The sequence below is a fragment of the Homo sapiens genome, chromosome 17 (assembly GCF_000001405.40).
Source record: "Homo sapiens chromosome 17, GRCh38.p14 Primary Assembly".
Taxonomy (NCBI): Eukaryota; Metazoa; Chordata; class Mammalia; order Primates; family Hominidae; genus Homo; species Homo sapiens.
Window position 1 is genome coordinate 33,439,298 of NC_000017.11, and position 22,200 is coordinate 33,461,497.

Genomic DNA, 22,200 nt, shown 5'->3' on the forward strand with positions numbered 1-22,200 from the left:
TGTCTTAACTTAAACTGGTCTTAAAAAGAAAATAAGAGGAATATTTTCATTTTGGACGGGGGGAGGAGTGAAGGCTGGGAAGAAGAAAGAAAAGACTGTATGGAGTGAAACAGTGTAGGGGGAAGGGCCTGTGAGAATTCCCTGAGAGGACTTAAGAGCATGTTAAGAATAGGGATATCATAGGGGTTCCATGCAAAGTTGTTTTAAGTGCTGTAGTGTAAATTACCCCCCTCTATTCCCTGCTTCTTCAGCTCCCCAAGATGTCTAAAGTGTACTCCATACTCATTGGTGCTTTATTTGAGTGGGGTTTCAGGCATGTTGAAATCAAGGAGAGGCTGAGTTTCACAAATGTGTCATCTGAAGTCAGACAGAGGAGAGAGAAGAAAAACCAGAAGCCCAGAGCCAAAGGAGAACTGAAGACAATTGATGAACACTGGACATTTGTAAACATCTTCGGGAGGGGATTCTACAGAATAATAAAGATGATTCAACATGTTACAAGACCTTGGCTGGCCTCTGCACCCACTCTGGAGCAATGGAGGAAGCATCGGCTCCAGTCTGCCAGGCAAGGACAAGGCAGAGGGTGATGAACTCCTGAGATGCGAGCGTGCATGCAAGTCAAAGGTGACCTGGTAAAGGCAATGTGGCTTTATAGAGCAGGACGACTGTATTCGGGGAGGCTTTAGGCTTCTTATTTTTAAACAGATATTTTGAGGTATAATTTACATGCCATAAACTTCACCCCTTGTAAATGCACAGTTCAATGATTTTTGCATAGTGCAATCATCATAATCCAGCCTTAGAACATTTCCGTCCCCTCAAAATGCTCTCTTGTGCCCATTTGCGGTCAATCCACATTTCCACCCCCAGCCTTAGGCAAACACTGACCAGCTAGCTGTCTCTGTAAATTTACCTTTTCTAGAAATGCCATACACATGAAAGTCTTTTGGATCTGGCCTCTTTTCCTTAGCCTGACGTTTTCGAGGTTGGATGTAGCATGTACCAGTGCTTCACTCTTTTTATTGCTGGATACTGTTCCATTACATGTATACACCATGTTTTGTTTATTAAACAGCTGACAATTGGATTATTTCCACATTTTGATTATTAAGCATAGTGCTGTTATAAACAATTGCATACAAGTCTTTGTAGACATATGTTTTCATTTCTCTTGGGTAGATACCTAGAAATTGCTGGGTCACATGGTAACTGTGTTTAAACTTCCGAGGAAGTGCCAAATTTTTATGTAAAGTGGCAGTGCCACTTCACATTTCCACCAGCAAAGAAAGAGGGTTCCAATTTCTTCATATCCTCATCAACACGAAGTATATCGTTGGTCTTTCTGATTAGAACCATTTTAGTAGATGTGTAGTGATATCTCACTGTAGTTTCAATCTGCACTTCCCTAATGACTAATGATGTGGAATATATTTTCATATACTTATTAACTATTCATGTATTTTCTCGGGTGAAATGTGTACTCAAATCTTTTACTCATTTAAAAAAGTAGGTCGTTTGTTTTCTTGTAATCGAGTTATAAGAGTTCTTCACATATTCTGGATACAAGTGCTTTATATTACTTTCAAATATTTATATTATTTGCAATATTTTTATTACTTGCAAATATTTCTTCCCAGTCTGTGGCTTATGTTTTCCTTTCTTTCTTTTTCTTTTCTTTTCTTTTTTTTAAAGGCAGGGCCTTGCTCTGTCACCCAGACTGGAATGGAGTGGTGTGATCACAGCTCACTGTAGGCTTGACCTCCTGGGCTTGAGTGATCCTCCCACTTCAGCCTCCCAAGTAGCTGGGACTACAACCATGTGCTACCATGCCTGGCTAATTTATTTACTTATATTTTTTTGTAGGGATGGGGTCTAGCTATGTTGCCTAGTTTGGTCTTGAATTCCTGGACTCAAGTGGTCCTCCCACCTCAGCCTTTCCTGGGATTACAGGAATGAGCCACTGCACTGGACTCATTTTCTTAATGATGCCTCTTGAAAAACATTTTTAAAAGGTTTATATGAAGTCCAATTTATCAGTTTTTTCTTTTATGGACTATCTTTTCAGTGTTATACCTAAGAAGTCTTTGCCTAATACAATGTCAAAAAGATTTTCTCCCATAAAAATATTTCATAGTTTTAGTTCTTACATTTAGGTCTATGTTCCAGTTTGAATTGATTTTTGTGTATGCTAAAATGTGAGGGTGTAAGTTTATTGTTTTGTATTGATGGGGCTTCAGGACATGCTGCCCCAAAATATGACACCATGAACATTTGAGAAAACAGCAGAAGGAGAAGGTCATTCTCACCTCCTTCCTTCTCCTTCTCCCATGAAGCAGGTCATAAGGACCTCATTTCAGTGGTGCCCTCTCTCTACCTGGAAGAAAGGATGTTTGTTATCTCTGAAGACACAGAGAAGAATCTGAATAAATAGACCTTGCAAAGTTCCCCCCAGTTTATTATTAATCATTAGATTATACCCCTTTTGTCCAATCATACTTCTGCACAACTGTCTACTTTTCATCAATCTTATGCATAGAAATTTGGGTCTTCATTTCTGAAGCCTCCTCCGTCAAATAAAACTTACATTAAATAAATTTGTTATGCTTTTTAAAATCTGTCCTTATTTTGGGTGACTCAGGCGTAAACACAGCAATGAGTGAGAAAATATATTTCTTTTCAACACCTACAGTATATCGATATCCAGTGGTCCCAGCATTGCTTGTTGAACAACCCATACTTCCCCCCCAAATTGATTTAGCACAAATAGTATTTGTCAAATATTAATTAACCAAAATGAAAGGATTAATTTGGGGGCTCCTGGTTCTGTTCCATTGATCTATATGTCTATTCTTGTCATTACCGTACTTTCTTGATTTCTGTGGATTTATAGTATGTTTTGAAATTGCATAGTTTAAGTCCTCCAACTTTGTTCCTCTGTTACAGAATAGTTTTGGCTATCTTATATCCTTTAAATTTTCATATAAATTTTACAATCAGCTTGTTAATTTTCTAAAGAAGCCTGATGGGAAATTCTTTGGGATTGAGTTGAATTTATAGATCTATTTGGAGAGAATATTCAGTCCTTTAATTCATGAGCATGAACTGTATCTTCATTTATTTTGATACTCTTTAATTTATCTCAGCAATGTTTTATAGTTTTCAGTGATTGGCTTTTGCATGTCTTTTGTTAAATTTATTCTTAAGTATTTTACTCTTTTTGATGACATCATAAATGGAATCATTTTCCTAATTTTATTTTTGGATTATTCATTGCTAGCATATAGACATACAATTTATTTTGAAAAGATGATCTTATATCATGCGCCTTTGCTAAATTTGTTCACTAGTTATAGTAGTTTCTGGGTTTTTTTTTCTTTCTTGGTAGATTCCACAGGCTTTCTAAAGGATCATGTTTTCTGAGAATAAAGACAGTTTTTTTTTCTCTGTGTTTCCTATCTGTGCACTGCTAATTTCTTTTTCTTGCCTTATTGCACTGGTTAGAACCTCCGGTATGATGTTAAGTAGGATTAATGGCAGTTGACATTCTTGCATTTTCTCTGATTGTGGGGGAAACATTTAATCTTTCATCATTAACATCAGGCAAATGGCAGGGTTTTCATAGATGTCTTTATTCCAACCAAGAAAGTTCCCTACTATTCTTAGTTTACTGGAAAAAATTTTGTCATCAGCAGTGTTTGGTTTTATGAAATGTTTTTTTCTGCACTTATTGTGATTGTATGGTTTTTGATATTTCTTCTATTAATATGGTGTATTACATGAATTAACCAATCTTGTATTGCTGGAGCATATGCCACTGTGTCACAGTATATAATCCTTCTTATATGTTGATGAATTCAGTTTGCTAATATTTAGAAAATTTTGCATCTAAGTTTGTACAGGATATTGGTCTGCAGGTTTCCTTGCTTGTGATGTCTTTGTCCTTGACATCAGGGTAATACTGGTCTTATAATAGGAGTTGGGAAGTATCCTCGCCTCCATTTCCGGAGCTTATGTAGGATTGGGTATTGTTTCTTCTTTAAAAATGTGATAGAAGTCACCAGTAAAATCATCTGGGCCTGAACTTTTTTTATGTATGGTGGAGGGTAAGATTTTTTTTTTTTTTTTTTTTTTTTTGAGACGGAGTCTCGCTCTGTCGCCCAGGCTGGAGTGCAGTGGCGGGATCTCGGCTCACTGCAAGCTCCGCCTCCCGGGTTAACGCCATTCTCCTGCCTCAGCCTCCCAAGTAGCTGGGACTACAGGCGCCCGCCACTACGCCCGGCTAATTTTTTTTTGTATTTTTAGTAGAGACGGGGTTTCACCGTTTTAGCCGGGATGGTCTCGATCTCCTGACCTCGTGATCCGCCCGCCTCGGCCTCCCAAAGTGCTGGGATTACAGGCGTGAGCCACCGCGCCCGGCCGGAGGGTAAGATTTTTAATATGAATTCAATTTATTTACTTGTTAGAGAGAGGCCTATTCAGATTTTCTATTTTTTTTTCTCGAATCAGTTTGGTAATCTGTGTTCATTTGCTTGGACTTAATCTGCAGAACCTTTGACTCTGTGCTGTGCAGCTGCTTATATCTCTGCTCAGTTTCTTAAAATATTATTTATATTTTAGCCTAGCTTTCTGGGAGCCACTCCCATTCCTACCCAGCACTTGCGCTCAAACAAGTGCTTTCTGCTCCCAATCAAGCCAGCCCCCTCTGGCAGTGAAGCTGTTGGTTTTCATGGGCAGCAAAAATGCCCTAGACTCCCTCTGTTCTTACCTGAAATTCAGAAGTTTATCATAAATAAACTATTCTCAATTTGTTGTTTGCCTTTGGCCAATTTCTGGAGCTCCAAAATGGTTGTTTTTGACAGTATTGTCCAGTTTTATAGTTGTTTCAGAGAAAGGATTTATCAACTTCTTCACTCCCCTACAGCCGAAAGTTCTCTCGGTCTTTTAAAACTGCTGGGTGTGTGACCTGTCAGCTAAGCTTCTCCTTGTTTTCAAGTTGTCATTGTGCATTTGAAAGTCAAAGAGTAAAAGCTCTTTTGAAAAAGTCAGGACTAGAAATGATGCCAGGGAATGTGTGGTTGGTGCAATGGAGGGGCGTAGAGTGGGTAACCAAGAGGTCATAGAAATAGTGAGGAGTGAGTCAGGGGTGCAGAGCAGTGGAGGCAAGAATGAAATGCATGGTCTACTAGAAAATACAAACACAAATGGAAAGGCTGCCTTACATCTCTTAACATCACCAATCTAACAGCCGCCATTTCCATGAATAGTTCATCCCAGGCTCCCTCCCCCGGTTGGGATTTCCAGTTGCCTGGGGAGTGGGCAAGTGTTAGGGTAGTGTAGGGATAGGACAGGTTAGGACAGGAATGGGACTGCACTGGCCGCAGGGAAGGGAATGCGGTAGGAGCCACGTGCACTGGGAACTGGATACAGCCTTCATGTCAGCCTCTGGAAGAGAGCTACTAAGCAGTGATCACAGCTCACCCCTAGCTGCCCTCTAGCTCAGCCCTAACTTGACCATAAATAACCATAAAGACTTGGTCCTAATACTTAAAAGTCGACGGTTGGCAGGTTATAGCCTGCAGGTCAAATCCAGCTCATCACTTGCTTTTGTAAATAAAGTTTTATTGATACTCAGCCACATTCATTTGTTTACATACTTCTATGGATGCTTTCCTGCTACATGGACAGCACTGAGGAGTTGTGACAGACACTGTTTGACCTATAAGGTCTAAAGTATTTACTAACTGGCCCTTTGCAGAAAACGTTTTCCAACCCCTGTTTTAAATGAAAACTACAGTAGCCAAACCTCCTAAAGCATGATAATGTGGATAGACCATAATACATGCAATCAGAAGACATGGGCTGGGTGCAGTGGCTCACACCTAGCACTTTGGGAGGCCAAGGCGTCTGATCATTTGAGGTCAGGAGTTCGAGACCAGCCTGGCCAACATGGCAAAACCCTGTCTCTACTAAAAATACAAAAAAAATTAACTGGGCGTGGTGGCACAAGTTTGTAATTCCAAATACTTGGGAGGCTAAGGCACAATAATTGCTTGAACCTGGGAGGCAGATGTTGCAGTGAGCTGAGATCATGCCACTGCACTCCAGCCTGGGTGACAGAACGAGACTCTGTCTCTAAAATAAAATAAATTAAAATAAATTAAAATAAAATCAGAAGATATGGGAACAAGACTGATCTGCTACATACCAGCAGTGGCACTCAGTACAAGCCATTGGTTCTCTGTGGGCACAAGGTCACTATAAAATAGGGATCAGGTGGATCCCCTGAGATCGGAAGTTCAAGACCAGCCTGACCAACATGGAGAAACCCCATCTCTACTAAAAATACAAAATTAGCTGGGCGTGGCGGCTCATGCCTGTAATCCCAGCTACTCGAGAGGCTGAGGCAGGAGAATCGCTTGAACTCAGGAGGCGCAGGTTGTGGTGAGCCAAGATCACACCATTGGACTCCAGTCTGGGCAACAAGAGCGAAACTCCATCTCAAAAAAAAAAAAAAAAAAATGGGGATCAGATGATCTATTCTGTCATTTGGAGTTGTGGTTCAAACAAAACTACTGTATGTGAAATCATGTTGCAAACTATGCAGCAACAAACATATACTATTCCTGTTTGCAGAACACCCACTTTGACTTCCTAAACCACCTATTTAGACCCTCTCTGCTTGTGGACAACTGTCACCTTATGTACACCTTTTATGTGGCCAAGTCTGTGAAGTACCATTTCCATAGGGACTTTTTTCCTTGACTGGAAGATGGAGTAGGAGACCATGTCTACCACACCGCTGAAAGAGATGGATGGGACGAGGGAACTCTTAAGAAACTGAACTTACCCCAGCCCCGTGGAAGTAGGCATGTTGACCAGTAGCAAATAAATGGTGTGAGAAAGCTATTTTTCTTCCCAAGAACATCCCTGGTGGAGAAAAGCATCATCTGAATTTTGATCTTATGAATTATTTCTTTTCTCTTTAAGAATCTGAACATAGTAATCCCTGTTACAATAGCAGGGATAATTTAGTGGTTGACATGAAACTAAAATTTGGGTAAGAGTTATAACTTAGAGTCTGGAATTTCCAGCCTCTGTGGCTCATTTCTATAGCAAAGATACAAGAATCCTCAGGCCATTAGCTAAATTTGAGAGAAGGTCACTGGCCGGCTGAAATCAGAATGTTCAACGTGGATTATCAACTACCACGCTGAAAGCATCTGTAATCTTCCTGCAGGACTTCTCAGTGCGATAGGTTTCAATCTCCAGGTGCAGGGGAACAGAAGCATCATCTTCTCCCACGTGGAGAAGAAAAGTAGTGACGTTCTGTTTATAAAACACTCTCCTACCCATCCTGTTATTGACTATAGAGGCTATAGGTTCCTACAGGTAGGAACCATGTCTTTTCATCCCAGTACCTTGCACAGACCCAGAATGGACTAGGTGTGCAATAAATGAATGAATCCTCTGGAAGGGAAATCTTTGAACCTAGTCAAAAGAACACAAATCAGTAGACCTGTGTCAATTCTTGGCGCTGCCTCTTAGTCGTGGCATGGTCTTGAAGAATTCGCTTTACCTCTTAGTACCTCAGTTTTCACTCCTGTAAGATGAAACAATAATTATCTGCCTAAGATATCATTTGGTAGATTAAATGAGATAATGGATAGAAAAGTGTTTTATAAACTGAACGTCACTATTTTTCACCCCCATCCTGCCTGGCCCTTCCTGCTGCAGACGCTTTGAGCCTGAGAATAACAGCTAAACAAATTTATGGTGTTTGCAGTTGGATTAGCCACAGAATGAGCTGTGATCCCTGTTTATTTTCTGCCTGCCTTCGTGAGTTTAGGTCCTGGTACATGAGTGCCCGGGATCCGGGAAATGTTGATTACATGTAGTTGTCTGCAATTGAACGGTAGTGGGGGTTGAGGTGGGTGGCCGGACCTGATGGCCAGAAAGATTAAGGCTAAATGCATCTGAAGAAAAGCAGAGCCAGAGTCTGTCTCTGGTGGCAAGTGTGTCCCAGGTGACCTGCCTAGAGATACCACTAATCAGGAGGAGAAGCCAAGGGGGCCTGTCAAAGGGGGTGTTCTTATGAGGATAATTGTTTGTTGAAGTACTGTCAGAAACAGATATGTCAGGAGATGGGAACTAAAACACTACAGGTATGAGTGAGTGATCAGATCTTATAATGAGAGGGGCTAGGCCTTCTCTAAGGAAGGCTGAGAGATGAGTGAGGCTTAGCAAGGGAGAGGAAAGCAATAGACCCAGCTGTGAAAGTGTAAAGCAGGATCTTTCAGAGTCAGGCCTAGAACACTGGGTGTGATTAGCTAGTTCTCTTTTAGTTGAAAATTACAGAAACTGATTCTGGATAGCTTCAAGAGAGATACAAAAGAGGTTAGGGAGTCAGTTACTGAAAGGATAACTGATATATCTTGTAGAATCAGAGGACTGAGATACTTGCCAAGGATAAACTAGAATCAGAGATGAATCAGTAGGGTGACTATAGCTTACAATAATCTATTTTACACTTCAAAATAGCTAGAAGAGAATAATTCAAATGTTTCTAGCATAAAGAAAAGACAACTAGCCTGGGCGACAGAGCAAGACTCAGTCTCAAAAAAAAAAAAAAAAAAAAGAAAAGACAAATATTTAAGGCAATGAATATCCCAAGTATACTGATTTGATCTTCACTAATTATATGAATGTTTTATATTATCACATGTACCCTGAAAGCATGTACATCTTTATGCATAATAAAATAAAATAAAATAAAATAAAATAAAATAAAATAAAATAAAATAAAACTAGAATCGGGAGTTAGGTTACTGTGGAGAAACCAGGCATTTGTCCTCTCTGACTCTTGCCTCCTACGTCTCTTTATGTTTCCTTTATTTTTAATTTTTACTGCCAAATGCCATTTTTTGGCTAATCAGGCTGTGGCTGGGCTCCATTATATTTCAATTGCTCATCTGGCCACTGCTACCTTCATTAGAATGTGAATACTTGACGGCTGTTTAGTGGGCTGAATGGAGTCCCCAGATATATCAGGTCCTAATCCTTGGAACCTTGAATGTTACTTTATATGGGAAAGATTTTGCATATATGAATAAATTAAGGATCTCGAGATAAGGAAATTATCCTGGATTGGCCCTATGTGTCTTAGATTCCATCATAAGTGTCCTTATAAGAGAGAGGCAGAGGGAGATTACGCACTCAGAGGAGAGGACAATGTGAGGATGGAGGCAGATACTGGAGTGATGTGGCTACAAGCCAAGGGGTGCTGGCAGCTGCCAGAAGTTGGAAGAAGCAAAGAATGTATTTTTCCCTATAGCCCCTGGAGGGATATGGTCCTGTGAGTCCTGTGACACCTTGACTTCACCCACTGAAACAGGCTTCAGACTTCTGGCCTCCAGAACTGTGAAATACTATATTTCTGTTGTTTAAGCCACTAAATTTGTGGTAATTGACTATAGAGGCTATAGGACACTAATAAGAGTAGGGGCCATCCGTTTTCATCCCAGTACCTTGCATAGATGCAGAATGGACTAGGTGTGCGATAAATGGTTATTGAATGAATGGATCCTCTGTAGGGAAAACTTTGAACCTAGTCAAAAGAACACAGATCAGGAGACTTGTGTCAATTCTTGGTGCTGCCTCTTAGTTATAGCATGGTCTTGAAGAATTTACCTCTTAGGACCTCAGTTTTCACTCCTGTAAAATGAAATAATAATATCTGCCCAAGGGTACCATTTGGTGGATTACATGAGATGATGAATAGGAAACTGTTTTATAAACAGAATGCCACTATTTTTCTCCTCCATCCTGCCTGGCCCTTTCTGCCACAGACCCTTTGAGGTTGAGAATAACAGGGAAACTATCACTGTATCTATGTCTAAGCCCCAGTGTAGCAAGATGAGGAAGAGATTGATGGCTTCCTGAGCTTGGTCTCATCATTATCTCCCCAGAACCAGCTGCTTCCTTCCTCCCCTCTAGCCTTAGACATTTTTGCCAGTCAGGGATTAAGACCTACTCTCTGGCAGTCAAGATCTGCAGCCTTGTGGGCTGTAGCTACCTGCTACCTTTCCTGTATTTTTCCATTCTCTCTTCTCTGTAGCTTCTCCATCAAGATGTCATTATCACCTGTTTGCTTCTTGTCCTCTGGGTAGCATACTTTTGGCCCAGGTGCCTCAAGGGACCTCATTCCTGTTCAGCATACCTGTTGCAAATACCTGGACACAAATGTTCTCAAAGCAAACCCCTCTATCAACTTCCCAGGGAAATATAGTGCTCCATGTGAATTAATGTTCTAGGTAACTGAAAACCACCCTTTAGTATAAAAAAATCAGGATTGCTTATTCTAATGGAAAATTTCCTATACATAAAGCGTTATAGACCTTCTTATCCTTTGACTCAGGAATTTCACACCTGGGTTCCAAAGCTACACAAAGGATTCACAGAATAATTTTCTTTTTTCTTTTCTTTTTTTTTTTTAATTGAGACAGAGTCTCACTCTGTCATCCGGGCTGAAGTGCAGTGGCACAATCTTGGCTCACTCTAACCTCTGCTTCCCAGGTTCAAGTGATTCTCCTGCTTCCCAAGTAGATAGGGTTACAGGCATGTGCCACCACACCAACTAATTTTTGTATTTTTAGTAGAGATGGGGTTTCACTATGTTGGCCAGGCTGGTCTCAAACTCCTGACCTCAAGTGATCCTCCTGCCTCAGCCTCCCAAACTGCTGGGATTACAGGCGTGATCCCACCACACCCGGCCATCACAAAATAACTTTTATTGCAGCATTACTGAATAAGCTCAAACTTAAAAATGGTAGAAACATCCAAAACAAAAGGCTAGTTTAATAAATTGTGGCAAGTAACTATGTACCTGTTTTGAAGACACTGGAACTTATGTTTAGGCACGCTCCGTATACATGCAGAAAATACAACATTAAGTGAGGAACCATTGTTGTAAAATGGTAGTATGCAGACACTATTATTTTCTTACCCAGAATGCATTTTCCTCTTCTTTCTGGTTTTATTTAGGTATAACCTCCCTCATGGGAGGTGAGCCTACTTTCAGTAAAGCCTGACTTGCCTGAGCCTGTCATGGTTGTTCTCTTTCCACTTTTCACTGATTGGTTTAGGGGTGGTCATGTAATCCAGTGGTGGCCGATGGCTAACTGAGGGGAAGTCTTATTCTGGGGGATTCTGGGATACTTTTCTCTGTTCCTGAAAGAGGTGCACAGAAAGATGAAAAAATTCTGGAGATGGATGGTGGTGATGGTTGCACAACAATAAACAATATGAGTGTACTTAATACTATTGAACTGTAGAGTTAAATTAGTTGAGATAGTAAATTTTATGTCATATATTTTGTTACAATAAAACCTTGTAATCAAGAGGGATGCACAGAAAGAGACTGCCTCCATGACTTTGTCTTCCTCTGTGGCAGGGGTGGGGAGTAATTGTGTCTAGATGTGGAAATAATTATGTACTGATATAATGTACCCCTCAGTCATCACTGTCCCTGGGCAATCTCATCAGCTTTCACAGTTTCTGTACATCTGTATGCAGATGTATATGTATACAGGGACTGCCACACAGCCTTCTGGGCAGAGCTCCATGCCAACATATCCAACTGCTATCCTGACATGTTCTCTTAGCTGTCTTACCATAGGGATCTCAAAATTAATATGCTCCAAATGTATATTTTTGTATTTTGGAAAACTCAAACTTGTAGAAAATTTGTCAGAGGCGTACATGTACTTTTTTTTTTTTCTGAGATGGAGTCTCACTCTGTCGCCCAGGCTGGAGTGCAGTGGTGCAGTCTCAGCTCACTGCAACCTCTGCCTCCTGAGATCATGGGATTCTCCTGCTTCAGCCACCCGAGTAGCTGGGATTACAGGCACCCACCACTACACCTGGCTAATTTTTGTATTTTTACAAAGTTTTGTATTTTTCATGTTGCCCAGGCTGGTCTCTAACTCCTGACCTCAAATGATCTGCCTGTCTCGGCCTCCCAAAGTGCTGGGATTTACAGGCATGAGCTACCGTACCCGGCTGTACAATGAACTCTTGAATACCTTTCTCAATGACTCACCAGTTAACTTTTTGCCTTAACACGCCAAAAGTTTGACCTTCTATGACCCCTTCCTCCCTGAAATCCTCTTTTCCAGGCTCCCCATCTCAGTAGTCAGCGCTGTTACAAACCTGTTGCTTTTGCCAGACACCGGAAGTTGTTCTTGATGTCTCCATCTTCCTCTTCCCGTGACACAAAACCAACTATCCAGTCCTGTGAATTATATTTCTTTTTTCAACCATTGCAGTTGCCTTCTCACTACATCCCTTATGCCCTCTCTTTCATCCACTTTTATTCAGAATAACTAGTTATAAGTTTGAAACACACCCAATCATATCAGTCCTTGCTTAACATCCTCAGTGGCATATCCTCAATGGTGTATTGGCTTCTCTCCTTAGTCTCTTTCATCAGGACCTGACCTAGTTTGTTCTATACCCCATAGCACCCTACGTTTTTCCTTGTTTGTACTTTTCATAATTATAACCGCTAAGTAATTTGTGTGCACATTTGTTGACTACTATTCTCCCTTATATGTCTATGATGGTAGGGACTTTGATGGTATTTCTCATTGCTGTATCCTCAGAACCTATTCTCAGTTAGTTACATGATATGCACGCAGTACACATTCACCAGATAAGTAAATACATGAATGAATTAATGCATCACCTCCACTGAGCAGATTTTAATCTGCTGTGAAATGAAAACTTGGAATACCAAGTTAGAGCTGCATGTAAATTAAAAGCAAAAAAGCACTGACTGCCAACCTAAGGTGAGTATCTGCCTGTTAGTATTCGGATTGTCTACCTTCTACCTGCTTAGAGGTGGTGGAGACTAAAGGAAGGAACCTAAACTTGGCTGTCATGCAGATCTTGATGCTGGCTCTGGCCCTGGCCTTGGTTGCTCTTGGCCTCTTTGAACCTCAGTTTCCAAATCTGCAAGATGGGTATGGTAATATCTATCTCAAAGGGCTTTTGGGAGGCTTAAATCAGATAGCTTTGGCTTTCTTTCCATCACCTCTTTGCCTGGCAGCATAGTCAGGAGTGCTTAGGCCTCATGCCTCCACCTTCCCCTAAAATTTGACCTGCTTGAAAGCAATGGAAAAGGGAAGCTTATTATCACAGCCTCAGTCTTGCCTTTGAGTAGCAGCTGAGAGGTAGTTGTTAGTGGGTAGACAGTCACTGTTTCTCATGTGCTTCCTGGGCCCACGACATAGTCTGACGACAGAATGGGAACAAAGTGGACTTTTTAGTGCTTTGCATAATGATGCCATGCACGACCTCTATTCTGTGCCAATGATGGTGGAGTTAGGATTTAGATGCTACTGTCTCTAAAGATTGATGTTTTCTTTGTTTGGAACAGAGTGGGGTGTGTGTGTGTGTGTGTGTGTGTGTGTGTGTGTGTGTGATAGCCTTTAAAAAGCAAGGAAGAAACAAAGGTTTATGTGCAGGGTGTACTTGTCAGGGGCTCAGTCTTGCAGGGCTGGAACCCAGCTGAAACTTTTGTCAAAGCCATCAGGCTCTTTGTTAATGAAGCTCCTCCGAATCAAACTGCTCTACATGCCAGTATTTAGCACAAGAAAGGTAAAGACTCATGAAATGACAGGGCCTTAGTGTTTTTCCGCACAGGCACTGAGATTCCTTTCGAATGAATGTTGTTAGCACCCTTTCAAACAGCCTCTCCGAAGGTTGCTAACTTATGCCTATGAGTTCTGCCTTCCTTCCTTGCTGAATATCACATGGTCTTCCCTTCCTCCTCTGCAATTCTCACAGTATGTGTACATGTTTGTGGGGTCTGAGATTATATTTGTGTATTAGAGAAAGCCTGTGTTTTTGGATGTATTGGGGAGCTGGGGTATGGGTGCTTCCCAGACCATGGCTGGGGACACTCCTCTTCCTTTCTACAAAGCAGGTGAAAAAAAAAAAAAAAAAGAAACTGATTTTACATTCTGAGTCTATGGTCTTACTTTTCCATAATCTTTTATACGTTGGGAAATATTCCTCTCCTACATATTTTTCTAAGGGAGGGTGATGGACTCTAGAGCCAGAAACCTCTTACAGATGGGGGAAGCTTTTTGAAAAGAGGCAGGGAGGCCATGAAGGGATGTGAAGCGGAAGATGTTCTCAGAGGAAAAGAGGGCAGAGTGTGTACCTGCAAGAACACCCTCAACTCCCATGAAGGTTTTACAATTTTATATTTTCCCCTTGGTTTATGAGGACAATCATAGATTATGTATGGTTTTAAAAATCAGCTTTATTGAGGAATAATTGTTTTATAATTAGCTGTGTATTTTTAAGGGTACGACTTAATATGTTTGACCTATCTACATACCTGTGGGACCAGCGCCACAATCAAAATAATATCCATCATCTCCCCAAATTTACTTTGTTTCTTTGCTCCTTTGTAATTCATCTCTCTCCCCATGCCATACCCAGACAGCCACCGATCTGCTTCCTGTCACTGTGGATTAGTTTGCATTTTCTAGAATTTTATATAAATGGCATCATACAGTGTATGCTTTTTTTGGTCTGTCTTCTTTCACTCGAGGTAATTATTCTGAAGTTCATTTATATTGCTGCATGAATCAATAGGTCATTCCTTTTATTTTTCCTATATGGTTGTAACATAGTTTGTTTACCCATTCACCTGTTGGACATTTTTGTTATTTACTGTTGTTGGCTATTCCAAAGAAATCTGTGATGTGCATTTGCCTACAAGTGCTCATATGCTGAAGTATACAGTCTTAAGCATTTCCTTTTCTCTCATGGTGACATTTCTTTTACTTGTCCCCAGCCTCTGTAAAGACCAACACAGCCATCCAGTCTTACACAGTGGTGTTGTGGGAAGTAAAGAGACAGGAAGAGGCAGTGTGGCCTGCCCCTTGTTCACTGTCCACTATGTTGATCTGTGTGGTGACCAGTAGTACAGTGGACGGTGGTCTATAGCAGAACCAGAAATAGCCCAGAGAAGCAGTTACACCAAGGACTCAACTCAGAAACAGCTATGAGGCAAAGACCCTTTACTCCCAGACAGACTTTGTGGAGGCAGGCTGACATTTGAGATGCACATAAAACATCATGCCCATTGTAGGCACCCAGTACTTCCAAATTCCCTTTCTGCTATGTGTACTTTCTTAACTGCTTTGTTTGTAAGTTCTAGGTTATCTTCTTAACAATTGTGGTTTGTAGGCAAATAACCTTTGGCTAAGAGAGGCTTTATTCTGTTATTCTTTAAAAATCTTAGACAGCACATAAATATAGCAATTGTCTCAGTCCATTCCTGCTGCTATAACAACATACCTTAGGCTGCATAATTTATACACAATAGAAATGTGTTGCCCACAGTTCTGGAGGCTGAGAATTCCAAGATCAAGGCACCAGCAGATTTGGTGTCTGGTGAGGGATCTCAGCTTCCAAGATGGCTCTGTGTTATTGTTTCCTCACATGGTGGAAGGAACAGAGGGGCAAAAGCAGGGCTCAGGCACTCCCTGCAACCTCTTTTCTAAAAGCACTAATCCCATTCACTAAGGTGGTAGTGCTCATGACTTAATCACTTCCTTAAAGGTCTCACCTTCTAATACTATCTAATTGGGTATTGAATTCCAACATACGAATTTTGGAGGAACACATACATTCAAACAATAGCAGCGATATACACAGATCCTGTGTCTGAGGTGTCCCGAGGTATCCCTCTAACTCATAAGCCCTCTTTGGAGAGGAGGCTTTTGTTGTATACAGGTATCCTAATGTGTCTTACAGGATAGCACTGTGCCACCTTTATTTTTTTCTTTATAATTGTGTAATTTATTATTATTTTGTCATTTTTCCAACTTTTATTTTAGACTCAGGGAGCACATTTGCAGGTTTCTTACCTGGTTATATTGCATGATGCTGAAATTTGGGGTGTGAATGATCCCCTCACCCAGGTTCTGCATAGTATCCAATAGTTAGTTTTTCAACCCTTGCACTCCTCCCTTTCTCTCCCTCCAGTAGTCCCGTGTCTATTGTTCCAGTCTTTACATCCATGAGTGCCCAACATTTAGCTCCCACTTATAAAGGAGAACATGCAATATTTGGCTTACTGTTTCTTTGTTAATTTACCTGGGATAATAACCTCCAGCTGCATCCACGTTGCTGCAAAGGACATGATTTTGCTATCTTTTTATGGCTGCATAATATTCCATGGTGAATATGCAACACATTTACTTTATCCAGTTCCATCATTGATGGGCACCTAGTGTGCACCTTTTTAGATATGTTATCAGCACTGCTTCCAAATAGCTTCTTTGATGGTTGCTAACTTATGCCTGTGAGTTTTCTTCATCATCAATTTCAGAACTATCCCAAAGGCTAAAGAACAGTGAAATACAGGTAAATGGGGTTTCATTTACATCTCAAAAGCCCCAGATAGCCGGGAATATCTGAAGGACTGACTAGATGATGTCCTGATGATGTCCCTACTTGCATATAATTGCTTAGAACTATGCGAATCAAAGACTTTGCACAGTTCCTTATCACCGACTGACAGAGCAGGAGGGGGCTTTACAGGCCGTGTTGTCCAATGGTGTCATTTTTAAGAGGAGCCAGGACAGCTCAGAGAGGTGAGGTGCCCCACCCAGAGTCACAGAGTTTGTTAGCAGCTAAGCTGGATGAGGAACTCAGCCCTCCAGGCTTCCGGTCCAGGGCTCTCTATCCCAACTCCCCCCAACCCCCAGCTCTCATTTAGTTTTTCTGCGCTTAATATGTTTTCCTTGAATTGATTTTTCTCCTCTGCCTCATCCATTACCTTGAAGGTTATTTTTGGTGCTCTTCTCTGCTTCTTTCATTTTGCAGATTGATTTCCCAGGCTTTGCTGAGTTTGGTGGCACTTCCCACCCCAGGGTCTTTGGCTTCATTATTGTTCTGTTTCCTACCCCCTTTATTGTCTTCCTGGGGCTTATAAAACAGACCAGCCCCCAATATCTCTTAGCCTATCTTCCCTCCCCACTTCCTCCCAAATAGCCCCCAGGATGCTGCTATTTCCCATCATGCACTATCCCCATCCCCCCTTCAGTCTATTCCCAGATTGCAAAATCTGCTCATAATGACAACCCTCGGAGCTCATCCTTCAGTGATAATTCAAGGCTGCACCAGCTACTGGGTAGTGACTACTGATACATCTTTCTGATGGCATGTCTTTTCTCCACTGGGTTTTCATTGTGTGGAGATGTGTCTATTTGGAATGATTCCTTCTCTTTTAACTATGTGGTGGGTGGGGCATCTGCCAGGTGCTTAGCAGGTGATGGTTGCTAGAGTAAGGAGCGTTTGTTGTGTGTGGAGAAGGTAAGAGCTGGAGTGAGCACCATTCAGGGCACCAGAGTTATAGTTCCAGCACTGGAGTATTGTAGAAAAACGGAGAGGGCTTTAGATAGAGTCAGACAAACGTCCTTTCAAAGCCCAGCCTTAGCATTGATTGACTTTGTGATATAAACAGGCCTGAGTTGCCTCATCTGTAAAATGGGGATAGTACGAGTACTCAACAACTGTCAGATTGAAAGGCAGTCCTAAATGTGGCAAAGTGTCTAAATTGCTTAGCTCAGAGCCAGATACTTTCTTCTGGAGTCAGAAGAGGATGGGCTTCAATCCTGGGCTCCCTGCATAGTAGCTGTAATCCTGCACAAGCTAATTAATTTCTTTAAGCTTCAGTTTTCTTAACTGTAATATGAGAAGAATGAATCATATCTAATAAATTGGCTTGATGATTATTACACAGGAGTATATAAAGTACTTAGCACAGTGCCTGGCATGAAGTAAGAACTTAATAAATGTTAGCTATTTTTAGGTGTTCAATAAATGTTACTTTCTTTTCCTTTGTAAATTTAGCCTTTTTTGTTTTTCTTTTTTTTTTTTTTACAAAAGATGAATGTACATCTTGAGAATCCTATGAACTTTGAGAAGTTTGAGAAGTTAAGCATTCATCAAATACTTTTCTAAGTATTGAGTCTATTTACTGAGTGTATGATCTGTAGAGAGAAATATCAACTTCTGTGGAGCTCAAAACCTAATTGGGTGGCAAGCGACTAGGCAAATGATTTCAAGACAATTTATCACCAGAGCCAAAATAATAAATTGCCAATTGAACAACTGCTTCAACAATTCAATTCTATATCCACTTATTAAGAACATACTAAAGGCCAGGCATAAAAATGAACAAGACAAAGTCCCTGCCCTCTAGGAGTTTAGTCTATAAAGGTAGTAGTATTAGTATACACTAATGATGCTGCTGCTGCTGCTGCTGATGATGATGATGGCAATGGTGGTGGTGGTGACGTCAACACCTCAACACTAATAGCTAAGATGTATAGACAGCTTACTACAAGACAGGTGCTGGCCAAGGGCTTTGCATGCATTGTCTTATTTAATTCTTACTGGAGCCTTTTGAGATCAGTCATGTTATTCTCTTATGGATGAAGAAAAGGAGGCTCAGAGAGTTAAGCAATTTGCTCAATGCCACATAATTCCTGGCAGCAGAGTTAGATCTCATACTCAGGTCTGATTCTGGTCAAAGACCTTGCACCCAGCTGCTACACTGCACTACCCTTCCATTTCCAGTTACAATGGAGGAAATAATCACATAAATGCTGTGGTAGAGGAACAAAGTGCTGTGGGGGAAGGGGATTCTGATTCTGACAGGGGTGATTGCTGAAGTCGTCATAGCTGAGGCGTCTTTGGGGCTAGGTCTTAAGGATAAGTAGTAGATCAATGGCAGGTTATGGAGTGGAAGGGGTTCCAGACGGAGGAAACAGCCTGATAGATAGAAAGAAGCCTCGAATCTCTAGGTGTGGTTGGGGAACAAGAAACTAAGAAACTAAGAGGTGTGGTAGGAGGAGAGAGGTCTTGCCAAGAGCTTTAGAGTCAAGAGAGGTCAGAGTAGATTGAGGATCATTGGAGGATGAACTTGTGAGATGCAGCACAAAGGCTAGGGAGCCTCATACTACTTGTTTGGGTAACTCAAGTAATTTATTCCAGGATCTGTAGGGAAAGATTTTTAAAACTTTTATGTTTGGAGTTTTTTCACATGTTTGACTGGGGAGCCAGGAGAGTTGGGTTTTAGTGAAAGGCCAGAACCATAATGGGCTCTGAAGTTGGACCGTTGGGTTTGAATCCCATCTCTATCACTTTCTGACTGTATGATTTTGGCCATAGTTAACACCTCTGTGCCTCAGTTTCCTCCTCTGCATAATGGGTTGTTGGGAGCTGCAAATAGATGAATGTTTATAAAGCAGTTAGAACAGTCCCTAGCACAAAACAAGCACTCATAAAATGATTATTGGTCATGGTTCAAGTACTGGTTGGCCATATGACTTTCTCTATCTGGGCTTCAGAATCCTAATCTATTAATGAAGAGATTGAATAATAATTTCTATGATCTCTTCCAGTCTAAAATGGTCCAAATGACTTCTTTGGTGAGGAAGTATAAGAACATAATATCTTTAATTTTCTTTTCCTTCATTTCTAGTAAAATGAAGAACTAGAGTAATTCAGGGGTGCCAAGCTATGCTGCACAGGGTTTCTGTCCGACTGAACCTTCTTGGAGCTGATAATATTATCAAGACTGATGGTCTCATTACTGGAAAACCTCCACGTTGTCAATAGATATAGACAACGGGGCTCTTCTGGTTGAAATACTAAAACAAACTGTCAATTCTGGTGACCGCATTACCTTCGTTTTTTTGTTTTTTGTGTTTTCTGTTTTTTTTAATGACCCAGAGGCCCCACCATTACTCAAGAGTTTTGATCATCGTCACATGGTTTCGTCTGTGCTAAGTCTGTTGCCTGCTTGGCTAGCCATGGGGGCAGCAGTGAGTGATTCATCACCTGCTACCTGTCCACGACGGGGTCGGTCTGTGCTCTTGCTGAGTATCTGGCCTGTTTGTCAGGCTGTGTGGTTGCCGAGTACTGTGTTCAAGGCACATCTTGTCCCTGAGAGGCTGCCTCCCAGGAGACGCGTGCAGGATCAATGTATCTAATTCATCCAATGGATATTTACCTCATTAAACAGCAATACATTCAAACAGAAAAATGAAACCACACACATCATTAAAGCTAAATACGTTTCCTTTCTTTGTCTTAGTTTTATTTTCTGAAGGGAAATGCAAGTAGCTCTGCATAACGAGAGGCTCATTGCTGGAGCAGGGCGAGAAGCTGAAAGCATCGAGGCAAAGAGAGATAAAAGGATATTGGCTCCCAGCAATATCCCTCCTTGCAGGAAGTAAGCGGTGGTGAATTCATATTTCTACATATTAAGCTGTTCTGTCGGGGTGGGAACACCCCTTCGTCAGTGCAGGGGAGAATGTTGGCAGGGCTGGCCGTGCCTGTGGGGATGAGGTATCTGTCCCTGCCAGCCCAGGAGCAGCAGCTGGCCCTCCAGTGTGGTCTCTCTAGGTGGTTTCCCCTTGCCCTTTCCAGGCTGAGCTCAGACCACATTGTGGGGCAATTGCCAGAAGTGATTGTCTCTAGTGAATGGAGCGCCTCTTCTTTAGAGTGTTAAGGATATTAATTAGGTGGCACCAAGTTCATTTAGTCCTTGGTTTGTAGTTAAATCTGTTATGACCCCATAATCTTCTTGGGATTGTGAAATGGTTAAAAAAAAAACCCAGACTTTTCACTCTCTTTCAGGATTTTACTCAGATTTGTGTGTTTGACAAACTAGCTAGTAGTTTATGCTCTATAGCAGACATTTTTGCTTGCCTCCAACACATCTATTTCTTCCTTTATCCTGACCTCGGTGTCCAGATTTGCTTTGGAGGAACAATCTCCTGCTAGGATTAGCTTCGGGTATTGACCCCACTCTTAATTCTAGGGATGGGTTAGATTGGCTTGAGCTGATTAGTATGTCCTGTTTCCAGGCATGTGACACAATTTGAGCAAATGAGACACAAGGTGCCAAGAAGGGGATGGGGTGGATGGGCTGCCATTCTCACAGGCAGGAGCTGGTAGATGGCATACAAGGAAGCTGGGAGGTGGGAATTAGTGCGGCCCTTTATTTGTATCCTGAGGATGAGGGACATCCTGAGGATGAGCCTGGCACACAAAGGAGGCCAGAATAGAGAGAACAAGGGCTGGCTCTGCCATGACAAAGTGAACTTCTGGAAGAAGCCGTAAGTGAGGCCAGTTTCTCTCTGGGTTGCAAAGGGAAGTTTGCATAATCCTATCCACCACAGAAATGGGGAAAACTAATGGCCAAAGATTATTTAGTCTCATCAACAAAGGAATGCTTTCTGTTTCAAAATGACAGATTCTGTAGGAGCTAATATTTACAGAGAGCATGTGTCAGGCATGAGCTTATATGTTATGACTTGTTTAAGCCCTCAGATGACCCAGTGAGGTGCATACTGTTATAAATCCATTTTACAGGTGAGAAAACTGAGCCACAGAGAGATTAAGTAATTTTCTAAGTCACAGAATAAGTTAAGTGGCAGAGCCAGGATTCAATCTGACATCAGATTTCTCACCATCCTGTGCAACTGTAGTATTCTACAACTCTACGATTTCCAGAAACAGAGCCAATGACTCTTCCCACTGGGAACTATCAACCATCCAGCCAATTTCATTGCCCAGAGCTTTTCAGCTTTTCTCAATTCCATCTCCTTTGCCCAGATGATAATAGTCTGTTGCAGTCACAAATCATCTCGCCTCCTCCTCCACATCTGACACTCTGGTTTCTGTAATGTGCATCTCCCTAGCTCTATATAAGAAATGTAACCAACCCACTTCCACCTGCTCCTCAGCACCTGCTTTTCTACAATAGTCTCAAATGCAAAGTTCACCCACCCAAGGAAGCACTCAGTGGGATTAGATTTTGAAGGAATGAACACTTAACATTCCTTTACGTTTAGATAAAAGTTTTGAAACCTTATTCACCCTGTGACATACTGGTCTTGCCCAGGTCCTGGGGGAGCGCAGAGCTGTGGAATGTTTTCCCATTGCCCTTCTCTATCCTCTGGTCAATTCTATCATGCAGGCACATTCTTGGGCATATTCTCCAAATTCTCCATGCAGGGAGCCCTCCAGATCTTCACACTCAATCTCCTTACACTTTGATATTCCCCAGGGCCCTGCTTCTTGGTGCTGTCCAAGCTCTACTTG

General features: G+C 41.5%; 1 protein-coding gene across 1 annotated transcript in view, besides 2 other annotated features; it reads right to left on the reverse strand.

The window, feature by feature from the left end:
• Positions 1-22,200, reverse strand: part of ASIC2 (acid sensing ion channel subunit 2) — a 1,143,682-nt gene that overhangs the window by 426,211 nt on the left and 695,271 nt on the right. The window lies entirely within an intron of this gene.
• Positions 13,187-13,932: an enhancer, noted in NCBI's record as "OCT4-NANOG hESC enhancer chr17:31779502-31780247 (GRCh37/hg19 assembly coordinates)". NCBI's record gives its function as "activates a minimal SCP1, AML or CMV promoter by ChIP-STARR-seq in naive H9 embryonic stem cells {active_cell/tissue: H9 hESC(naive)}" and the evidence as "EXISTENCE:reporter gene assay evidence [ECO:0000049][PMID:30033119]".
• Positions 19,828-19,877: an enhancer, noted in NCBI's record as "active region_12040". NCBI's record gives its function as "activates an Ori minimal core promoter by ATAC-STARR-seq in GM12878 lymphoblastoid cells {active_cell/tissue: GM12878}" and the evidence as "EXISTENCE:reporter gene assay evidence [ECO:0000049][PMID:35858748]".